General features: G+C 38.5%; 2 long non-coding RNA genes across 4 annotated transcripts in view; one reads left to right on the forward strand and one right to left on the reverse strand.

Annotated features, from left to right (window-relative positions):
• The window catches only part of LOC105374558 (uncharacterized), a 62,953-nt gene extending 53,369 nt beyond the window's left edge, over positions 1–9,584 (reverse strand). The window contains exons 1-2 of the long non-coding RNA XR_925528.3: positions 9,390–9,584; positions 9,119–9,254 (exon numbers count right to left, since the gene is read on the reverse strand). This is a non-coding gene — a long non-coding RNA (uncharacterized LOC105374558). The remainder of the gene's footprint in view (positions 1–9,118; positions 9,255–9,389) is intronic.
• The window catches only part of LOC105374557 (uncharacterized), a 485,690-nt gene that overhangs the window by 458,260 nt on the left and 5,283 nt on the right, over positions 1–22,147 (forward strand). The window contains exon 4 of one of the 3 annotated variants that reach the window (NR_188396.1): positions 2,147–2,227. The exons of the other annotated variants lie outside the window; for them this stretch is intronic. This is a non-coding gene — a long non-coding RNA (uncharacterized LOC105374557). The remainder of the gene's footprint in view (positions 1–2,146; positions 2,228–22,147) is intronic. 3 annotated transcript variants of the gene reach the window in all.

The following is a 22,147-nucleotide window of genomic DNA, read 5'->3' on the forward strand; positions in this document are numbered from 1 at the left end:
ATGTGTCTTTAAGAATGAGAATTTATCCAAGTAGACTGATTTAATCATGTTATTCCTGCAAGAGCACAGAGATTGCTCTGACTGGTCAAAAAGAAGAAGTAAGAAATATCCACTCTGGCTGGCCTGAGGAAAGCAAACACCCATGTTGGGTTCCCAGTGAGAGCATCTGCTTCTAGGAACTGAGACAGTCCCCAGTTGATAGTTTTTAGGGAAATAGAAACCTCAGTTCATCAACTGCAAGGAACTTCATTCTACCAACCACAAGACTAAGTTTGGAAGCAGATTCCCTCCCTTACCCTGCAACCCCCAGAACCTCTGTGAGAAATCAGTTCAGCTGATCCCTTTATTTCAGCCTTTGTATTTTGATAACCAGCTGTGATATACAGGCAGAGAAACCTACCACCCCATGCTTGACTTATGACTGACAGAACTGTGAGCTAATACATGGGTATTGTTTCAAGCTGCTAAAATTGTGGTATTTTGTTACACAACAATCATATGTGCTCCTCATACGTATTTTGCATTGTTATCAACTAGATGAGAAATACAGTGGTTAGTAAAGCATAATGGATAAGAAAGTGAGCTTTGGAATGAGACTTCCTGGGTTTGAATTCTAACTCTGTCATTTGCTAGTGATGTGACTCAAAGCAGGTGAAGGAGGTAAAGCATCTGACCTGGTGGCAGGTACATTCGAGTGTTCAATATATCCCAGGTGTCATTTTTACCTCCATGTCATTACAGACATTCAGGGTGTGGGGGGGAAATTTAGCCAAGGTTGAAAACCTGCTAGGGTGTGAATCAGGTTTATCACTCTAATCTGTGTGGCTCTCCAATCTCTGTACTTACCCTACTGAATGAATCCCACTGCCCTTCAGAACTGCCCTTGGGATGGTCTGGCATGTGTGTCTTCGTTCTCAGCTGTCTCAGCTTCTTACTTCTGTGGCAACTAACCTTTCCAATTGTGGAGAGAGCATCTCAACAATCTAGAGGAGATCTAGGTGAAAAAACTCAGGAATCCAGGTCCTTTCCATATTCCTCATGTTCTTAGAACATCAAGTCCTAATATAATGAATAGTTCTTTGAAACATCCTATGAAAAATACAATGGGAATCTTCTGTTTTCTGCCTTTTTCCCCTAGAACTCATTTTGTGTTCCTGACCTTTTTTTTTCTTTTCTTTTCCTTTTGTCTACCTTCACCTTCCTTTAGGAAGTGTTAGCAATTAAAACCTCACCCTCAGGTATAAATGTCTCCTGCCTGCAGCAGACCACTAAAAGCCTAATGGACCAGTCTCAGTATACAGGTCACTAAGAGTAGCAGCAGTGCCCTGTAAGCTGTCCCCACCTGTAGCAATTCAGGGGAAATATAAGATGTACTCTTCTAAAACAAGTTAAACCCTGAGTCAATGATAGAAAGTTATTATAGAAGAACATTACCAAATAATTCATCAGGTTTTTACAATTATGTAAGCCAAAAAGAGCAACTATAAAATGGAAATTTAACCTCTACCAGGTATCCAAGCATGTATATTTCTCTCCCAGCTTAAAGACTTTGTAGTGATGAAAATGTAGACAAATTGATTGGGTTAGAAAGATAATCATCTGGTGCAGAAGTAATTGCTATAAGTTAACTAATTTAGAGGGCTCTTGTGGAGAAGTGATAGCTGGAGGCTACAAAAACTGGCTTCTCAAAGTTCTATTGCACACAAATAATTACTTCAAGAAACAAATGAAGTGTTATTTATTGGCAGTAGGACCTGGATCCTTGGTGATCACCAGTGAAAAAGGAAACTGAAATTAATTTGTACTAAGCAAAATTGCATTCAATCCAGCAAAGCTGTTCTGTGAATTTCAGTTGGTATTTAGGCAAGTTATTATTGCCTCAGGCCTATTGAACACTGCAGCCAGTGCTTAGCCATTTTTTTGCAAGAGTTTTCTAGTTGGGTATTTCATTTTTGCTATGCATTCATCTATAACATATGATGAGAGTTATTATCTGTGATGGAAAGTAATGATACTATCAGTTGGAGGGAAATGTTTAAAACTTACATAACCCCTTATTAAAATTCTAAATCAACCAAATTTATCTTATGCCTTAAGAAAATCATTTATTAGGAGCTTTAAGTTATTTATTTCTATTTTTCTTCAGATTCCTAGAAAAGAGGAAAACAATCACTCTAGAACTGTTATAAGCATGCTAACCAGGACTTCAGAGAAAGGAAAAAAAAAGGTAAAATATCAAGTTGTTTTAGCCTAAAGAAATATAAATATTCTTTTCCTCTTCAAATTTTTTTTTCTTTTAGAATTATATACAGTAGTATATGAGCACTATTGCGTAAATATTTTTTTAATGGCTTTAGAAGTGGTTGTGAAGCCCTGATTTACAACATTTGTCTGTTTCTGTCATGTGTATCCTTCCCCACCATGGCCAAGTTCAAGCTACCAAGGATACAGCACCGAAAGCTAGGTTGAGAAGAAATGCATACAATGGGCTCACTGAGCTTGTAGGAACCCCAGCACACCACTGATTTTATATTGTTGTGATCATAAGAACTTGAGTAAATTCCCTCAGAAAAATGGCTTATCTCTTCTATAATGCATTGCACTCTTACCTTTTATCTACATTATTATTATTTTTATTTATTTGTATGCATTTCTCTTTACAATGGAAGACTTTTCATATTGGTTCACTCACTGCCATGGTAACTAGCAAAATTTTTAGATAGAATAAGTACTCAATAAACATTGGTACAAAAATTTCCTTGGATTATCTCATTTTACTGCCTCCAATACTAATAGACAAGAGGCCAAATTGAGCTTAATGCAAACCATTTTTGGGTGCTCAGAGTTCCTCAGTGCTTTAAGGAAAATCTCAAATGTAGTTACCACTTTGCTTTAACTGCCAGACAGTCCTTACAGTTTGCTGCATATTGAACAAAACACTTATTCTCCAGGAAATGCGAAAGCAAGTGGATTTTAATAACAATCATATTTTGCTTGTTTATTAATATATACTTTTAATCACTTTTCATCCTCAAAACGACTCAGAGAGTCACACATCATTTTGCAAATGAACAAAAATAAGGGAAATATTTTTCCAAAGTCATGAAGTTGGTCCACAGTGGACCCAGGATGGGAAAAATAATGTTCTATGCCTAATTCACTCTGTCTTCTCTTTTGCCATATTTCCATCATTTTATTATTTAGCAGGGAGGTCTATCACACCTATTATCAAAGGTGAGCGTTTTGCTAAGTGCTGGTACCACAAGGACATAGATCAGATTCTGTTCTAATTCTTTCATATGTAAGCCAAAGTGGACGCATGTGACAAGCATAGGCTGTTATTTGTGGTACAATAAAGTTACTAACATATTGTTATAAGACTAAAAGCATTGGTGGATTATTTTGCCTTGAAAATCAGAAGAGCTCTCACAAAGTAATTTCTTGTTCAATTATGCATAGAATGAAAGCAACTACATTTGAACACATTTTCAACATGATTTGAAAATACTGATGTTATTAAATCATATCTTTACATTTTGGGGTAAGGCTTCTTTTTTTAAAGAGTCACACTAAATATTGTCTCTTGTCTTGTTTTTAATGCAAGGATCTTCAGAAAAGTTGTTCTTTCTCTGTTCCAATTATAGTTAAAAGCTATATGGTCAACAAAACACACGAACAGTTATTATAATTTGTATTAACATATATGAATCATTTTAATTACCTACTTTGAAGTATGGATGCTTTTGTAATTTTTAAAATTTTCTTTCTAAATATTTTGTGTCTTTTTGAATTAAATGTTGACAGAGTAGGCATGATACATATTATAAAACCATTTCAAGTATTGAAAGTCTCACAAAATACAGTTATATGAACATGGTATAAGATTATAAAACTAACGTAACATTTATTGAATACTTTTTCTTATGCTATGGTGAAAATTTTACCTCAAGAATTCTTTGGAAGGTTGCTATATCTCATGATGTTCTGTAACAAACATAGAGGCGGTTTTGAGGATTAGTAATATGCACAAGTTTGTGCATAGCACAGATTTCAAAGAGAAGGATTTAAAATCTGAATACTATCCTTGTTTTCACCTGTATACTTTTTGAAATTCTCTCTCCCCCTCTCTTCTTTATTGTTTCTGTGTGTCTTTCAATATAACATTTCTCCACCCCCCAAAAATATTTCTTATCAAATTTCTTGCTTTTGTTGTAAAGTAGCAGAAGAAAGAAAACTTTTCAAAAGATTTCAAAGAATGGCAGTCATTACACTCTCAGGGCTGGTAGTTGCTCCTTCTGATCATCTGGCTACCTAGTACTTGTTTCCTTTCCTTTTAAGGAGCAGTCATCTTCCAGTGTGTGGAGTCGTGGTGGAACAGTAAGACAAAGTGAAAGTCACTGCCATAGACAGAAGGTGGTCACATTACCAAAGTGTGATCCTTCAGTCTTTCTCAGTCTTCAGTGGGAGCTTTAGAGAAATAACATCTGAAGCAATACGTCACTTGCAACAAAACTGCATTTGGTTAAACTGTTTTCAGTTAACTTGATGGACACTGTCAGATGCCCCATCCTGCTTTTTTCTAATTAGGTCTCACTAATCTCATGCAATGCAACTTGCCCTGACCCTCTGACCTTCCACCCATGCAACAGGAGAGACCAGCCACAATTAGTCTGCACCCAACATTATTTAATATTATTCAACATTGTTCCAGCTGCCACAGGACCATATTCTTTCTCTTTCCTTCTCCCAATTGCTATCTGTGGGCCCCTCAGCCAGTATCTCTCTTTGCTCACATATTCCTTATTAATAAACCATTTAATTACTTGTGATTCTGTTACGACAGTGTGGTGTGTTTTGACATTGACACCTTTAAAGGGTGGGGGGCAAGAATGGCAGACCCTGCAGGGGTGGGACAATACAAGAAATTTTGTATCCTAAAGGGAAGAAAGAATAAAACAAACAGTCGGAGTTTGTTCATTCTAGCAGAGGGGGCCAAATGATGCTTCTGAGTAGTTTCCATTGCCATAACTGCTGATTCCTTACTTTTCTGGGCCTAGTTCTTCATCATTCCATTTGATTGCATGCATTCCACTAACGTGCAGCAAATTCTCTTTATAAATAATAAGTCTCTTTTATTATTTATTCTCTTTGTAAATAATAAGATTATGTTGCAACCAAAGAGTTATAAATGACACAATGGATTTAATGAGACTATTTAATTATTTAGGGGATGATATGGTTTGGCTGTGCCCCCACGCAAATCTCGATTTGAATTGTATCTCCCAGAATTCCCATGTGCTGCAGGAGGGACCCAGGGGAGGCAATTGAATCATGGGGGCTGGTCTTTCTCATGCTATTCTCATGAGAATATGAGTGAACAAGTCTCATGAGATCTGATGGGTTTATCAGGCGTTTCCACTTTGGCTTTTTCCTCATTCTTTTCTTGCCACCATCATGTAAGAAGTGCCTTTCATCTCCCACCATGATTCTGAGGCTTCTGCAGCTATGTGGAACTGTAAGTCCAACTAAAGCTCTTTTTCTTCCCGGTCTCAGATCTGTCTTTATCAGCAGCACAAAAATGGACTAATACAGTAAATTGGTACCAGTAGAGTGGGGCATTGCTGAAAAGATACCCGAAAATGTGGAAGCAACTTTAGAACTGGGTAACGGACAGAGGTTGGAACAGTTTGGAGGGCTCAGAAGCAGACAGGAAAATGTGAGAAAGTCTGAACCTCCTAGAGACTTGTTGAATGGCTCTGACAAAAATGCTGATAGTGATATGAACAGTAAGCTCCAGGCTAAGGTGGTCTCAGATGAAGATAAAGAACTTGTTGGGAACTGGAGCAAAGGTGACTCTTGTTACGTTTTAGCAAAGATACTGGTGGCCCTAGAGATTTGTGGAGCTTTGAACTTGAGAGAGATGATTTAGGGTATCTGGCAGAAGAAATTTCTAAGCAGCAAAGCATTCAAGAGGTGACTTGGGTGCTGTTAGAGGCATTCTATTTTTAAATGGAAACAGAGCATAAAAGTTTGGGAAATTTGCAGCCTGACTATGTGATAGAAAAGAAAAACCTATTTTCAGGGGGAGAAATTCAAGCCAATTGCAGAAATTCACATAAGTAGCAAGGAGCCTAATGTTAATCCCAATGAACATGGGGAATATGTCTCCAGGCCATGTCAGAGACCTTCATGGCAGCCCCTCCCATCACAGGCCCAGAGGCTCAGGAGGACAGAGTGGTTTCTTGGGCCAGGCCCAGGATCCCCGTGCTGTGTGCAGGGTAAGGACTTGTTGCCCTGTGTCACAGCCATGGCTGAAAGGGGCCAACATAGAGCTCAGGCTGTGACTTCAGAGGGTGAAAGCCCCAAGCCTTGGCAGGTTCCACATGGAGTTGAGCCAGCAGGTGCACAGAAGTCTAGAATTGAAGTTAGAGAACCTCTGCCTAGATTTCAGATGATGTATGGAAATGCCTGGATGCCCAAGCAAAGGTTTGCTGCAGGGGTGGGGCCCTCATGGAGAACCTCTGCTAGGACAGTGTGGAAGGGATATGTGGGGTTGGAGCCCCTACACAGAGTCCCTTCTGGGGCGCTGCCTAGTGGAGCTGTGAGAAGAGGGCCACCATCCTCCAGACTCCACAATGGTGGATCAACTGAAATCAACTGACAGCTTGTACTGTGCACCTGGAAAAGCCACAGACATTCAATGCCAGCCTGTGAAAGGAGCCAGGAAGGAGGCTGTACCCTGCAAAGCCATAGGGGCAAAGATGCCCAAGACCATGGGAACGCACCTCCTGCATTAGTGAGATCTGGATGTGAAATCTGGAGTCAAAGGAGATCATTTTGGAGCTTTAAAATTTGACTGACCCACTGGATTTCAGACTTGCATGGGCCTTGTAACCCCTTTATTTTGGCCAATTTCACCCATTTGGAACTGCTGTATTTACCAAATACCTGAATCCCCATCGTATCCAGGAAGTAACTAGCTTGCTTTTGATTTTACAGGCTCATAGGCAGAAGGGACTTGCCTCGTCTCAGATGAGACTTTGTACTGTGGACTTTTGGATTAATGCTGAAATTAGTTAAAACTTTGGGGGACTGTTGAGAAGGCATGATTGGTTTTGAAATGTGAGGACATGAGATTTGGAGAGCCCAGGGGAGGAATGATATGGTTCTGATGTGTCTTCACCCAAATCTCAATCTGAATTTTATCTCCCAGAATTCCCATGTGTTGTGGGAGGGACCCAGAGGGAGTTATTGAATCATGGGGCAGGTCTTTCCTGTGCTATTATTGTGATAGTGAATAAATCTCACTAGATCTCATGGGTTTATCAGGGTTTTCTGCTTTTGCATCCTCCTCATTCCTCTCTTGCCTCTGCCTTGGAAAAAGTGCCTTTCTCTTCCCACCATGATTCTGATGCCTCCCCAGCCATGTGGACCTGTAAGTCCAATTAAATCTCTTTTCCTTCCCAGTCTCAGGTATGTCTTTATCAGCAGCCTGAAAATGGCCTAATATGGGGGAGAACAGAAACAAAATACAAATTAGAGATATCTCTGAACACCCCCACTCATATGCACACATACACATGCGTACCTACATACATGTTTTAACAGTGGGACCAAGACAAAGAATGTTTCTACTAATTCATAAAGATCAATCCAGTTTATACATCACATCTGTGGCCACACATAATGTCTACTCTTATTCAGGAGAAATATCTTGTTTCTCTTAGCCTCCATAGCTCTGAACACAACCCTATATTTTGATTGCTTTACAGAAAATTGTAGAAATAACTGAGATTTATTTAATGCTTACTTAGAATGTGCCAACACTATTCTAAGAACGTTACATTTTTGTTCCTATTTCTTCCTCAGATCAAACATTATTATTGTTATCTCATTATGCAAATGACGAAACCAAATTTGGAAATAACTCACCTAAAGTTTCACAGTTAGTGTGGCCAAAACAAAACTTGCTTCAACTGTCAATGTTTTTATCATTATCTTACATTGTACATAATTTGTTTTTCCATACTTTGTTGTGTAATACTCTTTAACCTCTCTAAACTGAGGCCAGGGAGTATGTATTGGACACTAGATTTGTGTAGTGCCCAGAACAGTGTTAGCACATTTTAGTAGTTTAGCAAATGCCTATTACAAAATTTCTTGTAGAGTTCAAAACACATAACTTGAATTCTTCACTTTTCAGTGAGTTATTTTGACATAATTTGAACATTGACTAAATCCTTCTCAATGCAGGTAAAATATTTAGTCAACATATGTCCAAGACAAAAATAGGAGCTGCAGCTCTTGACAAGCACTCAGTGAATATATAGCATAAACCTATAAGTGAAAGAGATTAAGTATCTGCATGAAGAAAAGGGCAAAGGGATTTGAAGATTTTCAGCTGATAATCAGAGACAGGAGAGGATATTACTGGAAAATAGTAACCACCAACAAAATATGTCCCAAAGTGTATGAATATGACAGAGCTAATTGTCCCATTATCTATCAGCAATGAAGAAAATGTGATCTTGAATTTTCAATTCAATTCTTCAGAATTTATGTAACTCTGGGGAAGTTAAAGTCCCATTGCATAATATAGTATGACACTATGAAGACTTTTCCTTAAAAATAAATTGTATCTCAATAATAAAAAAAAATGTTGATGTTAAAATATACCTGTTATCTGAGAAAAGCAAAATGGCCCTCTAGGTAGAACACTACACCATGAGCTCCAGGAGATAAGGTGATATGAATAGGGAGAGACTGGAAAATGTGATAGGCAGAGCTGGCTTTAGGCATTTGGGTTGCTAAGGGAGCCCACATATGCCACAAGCTCCCCAAGGATCATTTTAGTCACTCATTTAGCATAACCTGGGGTTGGAATGTGATGTGTATCAACAAAATCCCAGCAATGTACCCATGGAAAAGTGCTCATTTCTCTTTCACCTGAAGCAGTTGAGCCCCATGAGCTCACGCAGATTCTTCTTAAAGCTAAAAGAAATAATGAAGTTAGTAATGGAGGTAATTAAGAAGTGATAATGTGACTTACATCTGTCACAGTCCAGATATCAGGAACTATTTATATTTAAATATCTAGACACAGATTTTGGTTACCTACCTACAGATAATGAGACTTCATGCTCTCGAGCCATTTTCACTCTTCAAATTATGTGCATCTCAGCCTTTTTGGTGTTTCAGTGTGTTTATAATGCTGAATATACTTCAGTGTGTTGAGGCCAGCTTATGACTGCAGACTGAGAAATAAAGTATAAATAATCAGAATAAGGAAAATAATTAAATCTACAAACAAATTCATAAAAGTCAGTTTCAAAGTGTGTTTTATGTATTTAAAGGCATAAAGAATGAAAATAGGCTAAATTAACCCCTACCTGTAACAAGTTACACATGGATATAGAGATGAGTCTAAATTGTTGATGCCAGTGAGGATGTAACAGCACTGTAGATCCTATCCTTTTGTCCCTCACATCTTCTCTTCTTCTGATACCCACTTCGAGATTCTCTTTTCAGATTTAAATTTTCTAATATCAAATTCAAATGACAGAGCAGATGCTGACCTTCATCCCCCAGGCATTTATCACAGGACAGATTCTGACTTGCTCATGAATATAATCTTATTCTTTGCAACTGGCATGTGGCCACTCTGAGTGGTGAGACGGAAAACATTTGGTCAGACATCCCAAAGTTCAACCTATTGTAAAAAGTAAAGTAGAGGTTCCTCTTCAAAGACTTTCCTCCCCATCTAATTAGGAATAAATAGTAACTTCTCTTAGAAGCAAAATTTATTCAAAGACCCGTGCTAACATTCTTAAATATCTGCTAGCCGTAATAAAGAAATCAGTGTACTTTATGTTCATAGCTCCCACAATGTAGCCTAAATGTTTGCCCTGGCTTGCTTATACTGGTCCAAGCAAGCTTTAGGTCATAGCCTGTTTTTACCTTTCTCAGCATTCCATAAGTTAGTTCCTCCTTCCTTTGTTCTCCTCTGCCTTTGCCTTTTTAAAAAAGTTCTAAGTTGCTAGCCAATCAGGACAAATACAGGATGTGAGGTCCCATTCCAGCCAATGGAAACTGGACACAGCAGTGGGGTGGATGCGTCAGGTTATAAATGAGCCTGTCTCCTTTGTTTGGTGTACTCTAGTGGCAAAACTGCTGGCGAGTGTACCCTTTCTGCAGAAAGTAAAAAAAAAAAAATGGCCTTGCTGAGGAAATGACATTTATGTTCTAGTGCTATTTCTTTACGGCACTAGGGAACAAGCATTTCTAACACTATGCTGCTTCCGTTTTGTTTAGTTGAGTTTTATTTGGCTTTGTTTAGTTGTGGTGGCATTGTTGTCCCCACCAGTAGAGGCACTTGCTACTGTTTCAGTTCAGTCCCACAGTAGGTGAGCAGCAAGGCTCCTTTCCCTGCCCCTCTCTTCCTTCTTCTTCCTCTCCTTTTTTTCTCTCTCTCTTTATCTCTTCTCTCCTTCCTCAATCTTTAAACATGCCTATAGTACAGCAACTTGAGCCTTGAGTACTGTCATATGAGAGGAATATACTTGTGCATTTCCATTTCTTTCAGCCACTGTAATTTTGAGTCTCTGTTGTAGCATCTCACTTTTCCTCTTAGATAAAAGCAGTTGTTAGTGCAAGGAGTAATAGGGATAAACGGAGTTTAGTGTATTTTCGGAAACGGAAATGCTAAAGCAAACTAAATATGGCCTGAGAAGGACTCTGTACTTCTACATTTGAGTCCTTGCAGATGAACTGCAGCCTAACTTAAAAGGTGGACAAGATTAAAACCTAACTCAGGAGTATGTGCCTGTAACAATAGCTGAGTCTTGGTCAATCCCAGCAGCCATACTTCGGCCATTCATACGCTGCTGAGCAAACGCCAAGCTGTAACTAATCCATTTGTTTCTGTACCTCACTTCTGATTTCTGAATGTCACTTCCCTTTTTTTTGTTGATAAATTTGTTCTAACCACGAGGCATCCCTGGAGTCTCTCTGAATCTGCTGTGATTCCGGGGGCTGCACCATTTGCAAATCATCATTACTCAATTAAACTCCTTGAAATGTAATTCGACTAAAGTTTTTCTTTTTAACAGAAGTCAAGGCACTCACTTTATGCCCTCCCTTCCTTTTAGGGAGTCCAGGATTTCTTTCTAACCCCTCCCCTTTTTCTAAGTTGTTGTTTGTTTGGTTGTTGCCTTGGGTGGAGGAGGGGGTGTCAGAAATAAGCGACTGTTGAGGGGATGAATAGGCAGGGGTATTGTTGCTCTGCTGCAGCTCATCTCCTGGGGGCGTTTGCTAGGCTCCTGGCTCTCGGGAAATAGAAAGACCTGCTCTGCTGTCTTTGGATCCTAGATCACTCTTCTTCCTCATTGAATGTTAGTTACCAGTTAACCTTCCTGCTACTCTTCTCTCCAGGTCCAGCTGTGTCAGTCTCTCTGGGGGCAAAACCAGTATGCCAATCAATTAATATAATGAAGATATAACTCCCTCGTGCTAGTTTGACATATTGCATATCTTACCTACACATAATGAAATTGTGGGAAGCTATTAAATAATTTGACTGGCTTATCCTATATAAAGACTAGACTTTACTGTGAATGTTCCTAATATATGAGGTCCATGGAGTCTGGTTGGTGGTCTGGTTTACCAGGATCAATCTGAAACCTATAGCACATTTGAGGTCCAACTCGAGTCCAACACTGAAAAAACAGTGAAGAGAACCTTATAAAAAGAGGGGGGAACATAGAGACAGGGCAAAGAAACCAAGAAGATCTGATATAATACGTTTAACATAGCAAAATGTTTTTAAAGTTGAAATTATCAGCAGTCTAGGAAACCCAGGGAAGTTGATCCTGTGATAGATTTGAGTGTTATGTTTTGTCTTATTTTGTTTTGTTGATGCTATCGATACAAAGTGCATGTTAGGTAAACATCTAGTCCACAAATTCAGGCAAGCATGAAGTGTTACTTTAATGTTGCACAACAAAACTATTTCTAATTGAAATGTAATTCTAACGGGTGGTGAAAAAATTGTCAGACACTTTGAAATTTCTCTTTACCATCTGGTTGGCTTTCCTTAATGTATGAAGGGGTGGTGGCAATGATGCTTACATATTTAGGAGTGAGAACATTTGCCCTTATTCGCCATCTATCCAGTCTGGTATCCACTGAGGTTTACCTGTTCCAGCTTCATCCTTTGTTACATGAATGCCGCAGCTATTACATGAATGTTGCAGCTATTCCCAAACAAGAGTCCTCTCTAGGTCCAGGTCTAGCAAAGTGTTCTTGTTATTCCTTTTGAGGCCACTCTGATGCAGCTTCAGTCCCTTTTTACATAGAGACATCAATCTTACCTTTCAACACTCCCTTTCCCATGTCGTTCTGAAAATAGAATTTTAATTTATGTGGAATATACTTCTAAAGTGAAGAATTAGTACCCTTCATTTTCAGACTTGAAAAACTATCTGAACTGTGTCTTACCCTTTCTTTCCTTAGACAAGTCAGAGCATTGCTATTTAGGAAGACTCCATCACAAGGACCTTTTGCTTTCCCCTTATTAGTCCTACATCTAAGTTGGAAATTTTATTTATTTTCTACTCCAGGGAGTGGGGGAAACTAGCTCAGCCTTTTCATATATTCTTCCAAATCTTTTTCTTATAACTGGTCCTCAGCTTTTAAAACCAAAACAAAATGTGTGTTCAATGTAAGATACATATCAAGAAAAACCACTGCATTAAAAAAACTGATTACTGTATTATTCAAAATGCTGTACTTAAACTTCCACTGGGGTGGACAACTCCAGCCCATTTGCATTGAAAGTGTTAGGTTGATTCCTACGTATTTACTTTAATTAATCAGTCTGTGTGTGTGTGTGTGTGTGTGTGTGTGTGTGTGTGTGTGTGTGTGTGTGTGTGTCTGTCTGTCTGTCTGTCTGTCTGTCTGTCTGTCTCTTTCTCCCTGCCTGACTCCCTCTCTGTTTACTCTTACAGGGAAAACTGACCTAGAAGGAATGATCCACCACCCCCCTTTAAAAAAATAATTTTAATCTTTTTAGTGCCTGAGTCTTGAATCCTCTGTCACCTTAGGAGTGCCACTGCCACTCTGGTTTCGTCATCTCATGATGGGTTTTCTATTAGATTGAGTAAAGTAAAGCCTATTATAAAATGAAATTCATCTTTTTCCAACTTTCTCTTCCAGAATTCAGAAAATTCTGTCCATGTTCCAAAACTGTGCATCAAAGCCAATTGATATCCTTTTGGGTCTTTGGATATCCCAAATGTCGATATTTCCATGTTTGTTGGGAAGTGGTTCTGCCTAACATATGGCAATATTCACCTTAGTGGGTGGGTGGATTTCTAAGCCTGTGGTCTGAGTCAGTCTATAGAATCAGCTTTGCATTTACTTTATTGTCAGCTCTCCAAGAGCCCAGTGACCTGTGACAGCTGAGTTATTGTGTTCTCTATGAAGGCTTCTTCTACCATAGGCCTTTATTGCTATTTTTCTTTGAGCCAACTCTTCTCAAAGCAATTTATCATCTATCTGCTGAAACTAGTACACCCCTCACATCATTTAATTTATATGTTCCCTATGCAGTAACTTCTAATACCCATTTAATTATATTAAAGAATAGGAAGACATGGACTTTTAGCAAAATTTTATTCTAAATAATAAAATAGCTCATGTAAAATTACAAAAGAATGAGCATTTCAGCTCTAGCATTCAGAAAAGAGCTCTTACTCAACTGAACTGATCACCTGTATCTTAGCACATGCAGTTCTCTATTGCAGATACTTGTCCGCACTTTCCTCCACAGTTAGATAATCATCACACATATAGAAAGAGTTGTATTTTACACATTTTGTTCATCACTGTAGCACATGAAGTAATGCCACCTAGGCAAAGCTAAATGTGTTATATAGATGGTGTCTATTTTATATTTTAAACTACTAATATATTAGAATGGTGTGAAAGATATTGAAATAATCTCTACTAACACTAAGTAGAATGAATTGCTTTTTAAAAGATATTCTTAGTTGTCAAATATGAAAAGAGAAAGTGGTAAGTCAAGTAACATGCTTGTTTTAATTGTTTGTGATTTTTTAGTAGGAACTTAAAGGCACATAACTCAATAAGCGTTTTTTTATTGATCAATGCCTTCAAGCAAATACATGGAGGCATGTTTATTTTCTCTCAACTGTTATTGTTATCAGAATATGAGTGTCATCTCCCCTGTATCAAGTATACTTTGGAGAACTGTATTTGATATCCTTAGGAGACTCGGTGTTTTTTTTCCTTTCAGGCTCTTGAGGTTAAAAACTCAGAAATTTGCCTTTGTGAGGGAGTACTTGAGTTTTAACATCACCATGAAGGATGAATTCAAAAGACAAGAATATCAGATGGTTCGTGGGTAGTGTTGAAGCTGGGCATGTTTCTAAATAATGGCATTTCAACTTTCTATGAATTAAATAGACAAAAACTATTTTGACACTGTCTCATTTTCTAACCTTCAACAAATACGGTCTGATTCTTAAAAAATAGACTCTCATTTCAGAATTCTGAGTATTGAGAACCATTACATATGGAGTAGGTGGAAATTTAATTGCCTTTTCTAGTAAATAATTAACTGTTGTTCTGATTAACCATGCTTACATACACCTTTTTTTCAAACAAGCAAATTCAACAAGAAATCACTTGTACCTCTGGATTCTCTATAGTTATATCAATCTACTCTGGTTAACAGCAGTCACGACAAATCACGTGAAAAGAAAGGTGAAATTGTGCTCAATGACAACATACAATTGTCTTTCATGTGGTAATTGCATATTGTGTTTCTGTTGTTTATTCATCCTACATAAAGAAAGTCTCAACACTTCCAGTATGTAGCATAGTAACCAGCATAAAAAAAAGTGATAAATGTTGAATGAATATGCATAGAACAGTCCTAATTAAATCAAGATGAATGGATAGATGAACAAAGAGAATAAATGACCACAAGATATAGTAATATTGAAATATCCAAATTGTAAAGTAATGGACATTTGCGTTTAACTCTTCCTAATATTGGACCAGGTGACAGTCTCCATCTTGAGATCTTTTTAGTAGGTTTCCATTCTTTCCTACAATAAAAGTACTATGCATTTTTTTTTGTCAATTCCAGTGTTCCTTGTTTAAAGGCTGTAGCTTTTTATCTTCACATGAAATTTTTCTTTTGTTTGTAAAAACAGGTTTTTCTTTTTCTGTGTTTCCTATTTATAGTAACCCATATTTAACTCTACCAAGAAATACTTTTAAGACTTCTTCAAACTGCAGTTAGTTTTACTGGGATTAGCATTGTTTTAACGAAAGCAATTAGCTAACTCTAATAAGATGTTAGTAATGATTTTAGATTTGCTCATCCACATTCTTTATGATCAGTGATGCTAATGCATATACTCAAGAAGACATGTAGGGTATGTCTCACATGCATGACTCTGAAACCAATCTCTATGTAAATGTTAAAATTAGTTTACAGTGTGATTGTGTCTTTGCAATTCAAAGGTTACCTGGATATCTCCAACTGGATTTATTGTACATTTTAAGTGAATTCTTTTTTGCTTTCTATCATAGACTAGAGATAAACTATGCAAAAGTTCATGCAGTCATAGGATCACTGATTTAAATAGGACCTGAGAGATCATGTGGATATATCTTCCTCGGTGCTGTTAATCACCTCTGTGTGCACCTACTAAATCACTTATTGCAGAGTTCTGAACATTTATGTTAACACTAATGTCTGCTTTAACTATGGTCTCACCAGAACCAGGTATTAGGAATGTTCAGCTCTATATTTGTATTTTACATAGATATAGCTGTTATTGTTGTTGAGTGAAGCCCTTATTAATTACTTCATGTATATATATTATAGCTACCAGGGTGCTAAGAAAGGTGAGAAAAAAAGGTGGCTTTTAGTATTGTTCTTTTATGCTAAGTCAACCTTGACCCTAAGTTCCATGCTATGGTTTACTGATAAGGAAAAAATGCTTATCTAAAAAGCCAACTTTGATTGACTGGCCTATTGATCAAATTAACAAAAGTGCAAATGTATTGATTTGCTACTCCCTCTGTGATGGCATCCTATGGTTCATCTAACAACCCTCCTTTGGATATTTTCATGCCTGTAATCCCAGCACTTTGGGAGGCCAAGGCAGGCAGATCACGAGGTCAGGGGATGGAGAACATCCTGGCTAACACGGTGAAACCCCATCTCTGCTAAAAAAATACAAAAAAATTAGTCAGGTGCGGTGGCAGACGCCTGTAGTCCAGCTACTCGGGAAGCTGAGGCAGGAGAATGGCATGAACCCAGGAGGCGGAGCTTGTAGTGAGCCGAGATCATGCCACTGCACTCCAGCCTGGGCCACAGAGCAAGACTCCGTCTCAAAAAATAAATAAATAAAAATAAATAAATAAAATAAAATAAAATAAAAAAAAGAATGTTACACTCTTCTCATCTGGGAAGGTTTCTCTACCCTCTTCATGTACAGATGAACCCCAGAGCAGCTATTTGTATGTGGCCTCTAAAAAAGCATCAATCATATGAATCGGCATCTATGTGTTTTCTTGTTTTCTTCACTACTTGGGGCCTTTGAGACAAGAACATAGGCACAGTCTCCTTTTTATATATCGTGTGCAACAGAGTGACTGGACTATCATAGGCAATCTGTAGATGCCAATAGAATTGAAACTTGTGTATTTCATTGAGCACAAGCAGATACTTCACTAGAAGTTATTGATGATGTACCTGGTACTCCCATAAGATCCCTGAGATGATCAGATAGATGTCCATAACCTTGGGCTATCTCCTCCCCTGGGCAATTTATAGACAGGAAAACATAAGCCGTCTCACATTTAAGATTGAATGTGACTCTATTAGTTCATAAAACAACTATGAGTTCAGGTTCCTTAATTATAAATTAGTTTTTCAGCATGTATTATTGTGATTATTAATACCAAGTTTTGTAAGGGGCTCAGTAATTCTAACAAATTAAAGCATGAAGTGAAAAACAGATATAGAAAATCAGCTCTAAATATGCATAGGCTTTACCTGTCTCAGTGATTGCATGTATAAATACACCACTTCCAAAATTGTGCCCCTGAAAAAGTATTTGAAATAGATCATTGACATATTTTTGGCTTAGTTTTTTTTTACAGCTGCAGTTAAAGTAGAATTATGAAAGCGATTAGCCTCAGGTCTGTCATCGTTCATCTTGAGCCTGGGATGGCAGAAGTTTGCAGATATTGTTGTACCATATCCAGCAATTTGCTCTAATGGAATCTTGTGAAATCCTGTCTGATGTTTGATAGGTATGAATTTAAGCTGTATCATCATGTAGTGTACAGGGATGAAAAGGAGTAGAAGCTGTGATCTACAATTACTAGCATCATAAAACATGAGCATGACTAGATCTATGTCAATGAAGAAGATCATTTATAAGGGATGCTCCATTTTATTTTATTTTTATTTTACTTTATTTTTTGTTTTTTGAGACAGAGTCTCGCTCTGTTGCCCAGGCTGAAGTGCAGTGGCTCTATCTCGGCTCACTGCAAGCTCTGCCTCCCGGGTTTAGGCCATTCTCCTGCCTCAGCCTCCCGAGTAGCTGGGATTACAGGCACCTGCCACCAAGCCCAGCTATGTTTTTTGTATTTTTAATAGAGACGGGGTTTCACCGTGTTAGCCAGGATGGTCTTGATCTCCTGACCTCGTGATCCGCCTGCCTAGGCCTCCCAAAGTGCTGGGATTACAGGTGTGAGCCACCCCACCCAGCCAAGGGATGCTCTATTTCTGGGAAACCAGAGTCATCATATTATTCATGGGTAATTTAATTGGTGAATAAATGATTCAACATAGATGCTGGTGCAATATATATTGGATTTACAAATAAACTAAAAATAAATGTAATTTGGGCATCAAAACAAAAACAAAATCACTATTAAATGGCTAGAGGGTAAAAATCGTTCTCAAATGGTGTCTCCAATTTGGAGGTATTTAAAGAGCCCAGTGATTTTGGGATGATTAGGGGTCTGGAATATCACGCTCACAAAATTCACATTTGTTGAATAAAATGTAAGAAATAGAAAGTGTTATGTGCATGGACTTTATAATATTAAAGCATTAAATATTAACATGAAGCCATAATACCAAGATATTTTTTCTGCAAACAGAAACTCCTTTTTTATTTACCTAATAACCTTGTGTGCAAGTGTTCTCAGGAAGGATGGTTAGCGCTTTTGAAAGAGCATTCAATCTGCCTGCTATCTAAGCAGAAGCAAATTGAGGGTATAGATCATAAAATCTTAGTCCTAAATGAGAGCTGAGAAATAATTTAGTCTGCACAGATGAGGGCCCTTGGGTCCAGAGCTGTTGAATGATTTACATAAGTTCACATAATTGCCTAGTGACAGAGCTGGGATTAGAACCCTTGTCAGCTGACAAAGAATGCAGGGCTCTTTCTATGCTACCATTCCCTGTCACAGTTAGAAAATGACGACTAACACATCAGCATGACCTTGATGGCTTAAAATTCCCTTGGCAGAATATAACATGATTATTGAAATAAGAATCCAGAGGCTGCTCTAGCGATGCTTTTGCACATCCTGCCTTTGGGAATTTGCAGGTATCCTGGGCTGTTCTTAGGAGAGGAGAATATGAAGGGCCACTGGTGATCTTTGCCAAGCCCCTTAAGTACTTGGGAGGGAAATTATTTTAAGACATTAGTGGCTTTTGTGCTTTAACAATCTGTTCTATCAGCAGTATGAAGTATGTGAGCTCACGTCAGTTGGGTTGTTTCTGCTTCAGGAAACAGCAAGAGATTTTGAGGGAACCACTGTTGTTGATAATCCCAAGTTTTCAAATCTGCTTTCTTAAGGTAACTTTAGAGAGTTTGGAACAAGGCTTTAAATGACCAGCTCCTACTAGAGTCTGAAAGTGTGCTGGTGAAATGATGAAGAGAGGTTGGTTAATGCATACAAATACATAGTTAGATAGAATGAATAAGTTTGATAGCACAGTAGGATGACTATAGTTAACAACAACGTATTGTGTTTTTCAAAATAGTTAGAAAAGATTTGAAATGTTCTCAACATAAAGGAATGATAAAGTTTAAGGTGATGAGTATCCTAAATACCCTGATTTGATTATTATACATTCTGTGCATTTATCGAAACATCACATGTACCCCATATATGTGTACAAATATTGTCTATCAATTTAAAAAAAAAAAGACCAGCTTCTTTAAATGGTTAAATCTAAAGGAGTATAAATATACTCCTTATACTCCAGTATATGGCATCATAGTCATTCTAGAAGCCTTAGTGGGCTCCACTGCATCTTCAAGCTGTCCTCTCCAGATGTTGCTAAGAGAGGAGCTGCACTAAGTACCTGGTGGAAGGACCCTAGAGATTTACAGACTGTTCCAGGGAGTCACCCAGGTGCTAATGAAAGCAACATCTGGGCTTTGTCAAATTGGAACCAAAGCCAACATATCAACAAAAATTCTGGATTTATCTGAGGAGATATTGTTTTTCTGAAGTTTTGCTTTACATTTATTGGTCACCACAAATTGTGCTGCAGTTCTCCTTTTCTACTCTGTCTTATGACAAGACTGGCAGCATTTTGTCCCTGCCCTAGATATCTGTGGAACTTTGAGCTTGAGAGAGGTGATTTAGGGTATCTGGCAGAAGAAATTTCTAAGTGGCAAAGCATTCAAGAGGAAGCAGAGCATAAAAGTTGGGAAAATTTAATTCCTGATGATGTGATAGAAAAGAAAATTCATTTTCTGGGGAGAAATTCAAGCCTGCTGCAGATATTCACATAAATAAAAAGGAACTAAATGATAATTGCCAACACAATGGGGGAAAGTCTCCAGGGCACGTCAGAGGTCTTCAAGCAGCCCCTCCCATCACAAGCCTGGAGGCCTAGGAGAAAAAAAAAAAATGGTTTCATGGGCTGGGCCCAGGGCCTTGCTGCTCTGTGTAGTTTTGGGACTTGGTGCCCTGCATCCCAGCCATGGCTAAAATGGAGCAATATACAACTCAGGGCATGGCTTTAGAGGGTGCAAGCCCCAAGCCTTGGCAGTTTCCATATGTTATTGAGCCTGCAGGTGCACAGAAGTCAATAATTGAGGTTTGGGGACTTCCACTTAGATTTCAGAGGATGCATGGAAACACCTGGATGTCCAAGCAGAACTTTGCTGCAGGGGTGTAGCCCTCATGGAGAACCTCTTTTAGGGCAGTGCAGAAGGGAAATGTGGGGTTGGAGGGCCCACAAAGAGTCCCCACTGGGGCATTGCCTAATGGAGCTGTGAGAAGAGGGCCACTGCCCTTCAGATGCCAGAAAGGTAGATTCATTGACAGCTTTCACCATATGCCTGGAAAAAGCCACAAACACTCAATGCCATGAATGCAGCTGGCAGGTGGAGTATAGCTTGCAAAGCCACAGTGATGGAGCTGCCCAATGCTGTGGGAGCCCATTTCTTGCATCAGCATGACCTGGATGTGAGACATGGAGTCAAAGGAGATTATTTTGGAATTTTAAGGTTTAATGACTGCCTTATTGGATTATGGATTTGCATGGGGCCTGTAGCTCCTTTGTTTTGGCCACCTTCTCCCATTTGGGACAGCTGTATTTACCCAATTCCTGTAACCCCAATGTCTCGATGGAGTAACTATCTTGATTTTGACTTTACAGACTCATAGACAGAAGGGGCTTGCCTTGTCTCAGATGAGACTTTGGACTTGGACTTTTGGGTTAATGCTGGAATGAGTTAAGTCTTGGGGGGACTTTTGGCAAGGCATGATTGTGTTTATAAATGTGAGGACATAAGATTTGAAATGGACCAGGCTGTAATGATATGGTTTGGCTGTGTCCCCACCCAAATCTCTTCTTGAATTGTACTTCCCATTATCTCCACATGTTATGGGAGGGACCCAGTGGGAGATAATTGGATCATGGGGGCAGTTGTCCCCATGCTATTCTCTCGAAGGTAAGGTCTCACAAGATCTGATGGTTTTATAAGGGGCTTTCCTCTTCACTCAGTTCTCATTTTCTCTCTTGCCAACCTCTGAAGGGTTGCCTTCCACCACAATTGTAATATTCCTGAGGCCTCCCCAGCCATGCACAACTGTGGGTCAATTGAACCTCTTTTCTTTCTAAGTTACCCAATCTTCAGTATTTCTTCATAGCTGCATGAGAATGGACTAATACAACTGTGATTGAGATCATTTTCTGCAATATATGACTGTTGAGCCCGCTCTATGCTGGGGAACTTAGAACGTATGCAATCTCATTAAATCATCTCAATGGCCTTGAGAAGTGCCTGTCAATATCCCTGCTTTGAGAATAAGAAAGAGAGACTCAGAAGTGAAGTGACTTGTCTGAATTCTTTCTGGCAGAATGTGCAGGTTTGGGATACAAAACAGATCAGTCTCAATCCAAAGTTCATGCTCTTTCTACTGTACCATGTGGTCTGTTTTATTCTTGTTCTTTTCTTCTACATCTCTCTGAGAAGACTGAATTACAATTTCATGAAATTCTTTGGGGATAAGGGTCTTTTAGATGGAATTCTTACTCAATTACAAGAACACAGACACAATATTCAAGATAGAGGGATTTAAGCTAAGGGACAGTTGATAATTTGTTGTCTTCATATTTCTCAGAATTGTAGTTTCAAATACAGAAAGAATAATTACATAATCTGAAAATAATAAGACAACATACTTAACTTGCTGCTAGAGCTATATATCATGGAATATCAAATATTAGACAGGACATTTAAGCAAGACAGTATCAGGGGTACTTTGCCTTGCTCCTTTATACATGTAGTTGCTATGGTTACAAGAGATACTGAATTGTGTGGAGCCTGAAGAAGCTACTCTAATACTTTGTTTGACATTGGTGAATATTTCTCTCTCTGAGATGTAGCAGGTGGAAGAGTGACAATGTTTTGTGGTCATAAACATAAATTGCCAAAAAAGTCTCCCAAAATTATTTTGTTTGGTGAAATATCATTTCCTTTACTTTTTTCTTTTATGTTACCCTACAATACAAGCAAAATGTAGCTATGAAGGCAGAGGAAGGTTCCGGAAAACTGAGAGAGTG

The sequence above is a fragment of the Homo sapiens genome, chromosome 4 (assembly GCF_000001405.40).
Source record: "Homo sapiens chromosome 4, GRCh38.p14 Primary Assembly".
In the NCBI taxonomy this organism is placed as follows: Eukaryota; Metazoa; Chordata; class Mammalia; order Primates; family Hominidae; genus Homo; species Homo sapiens.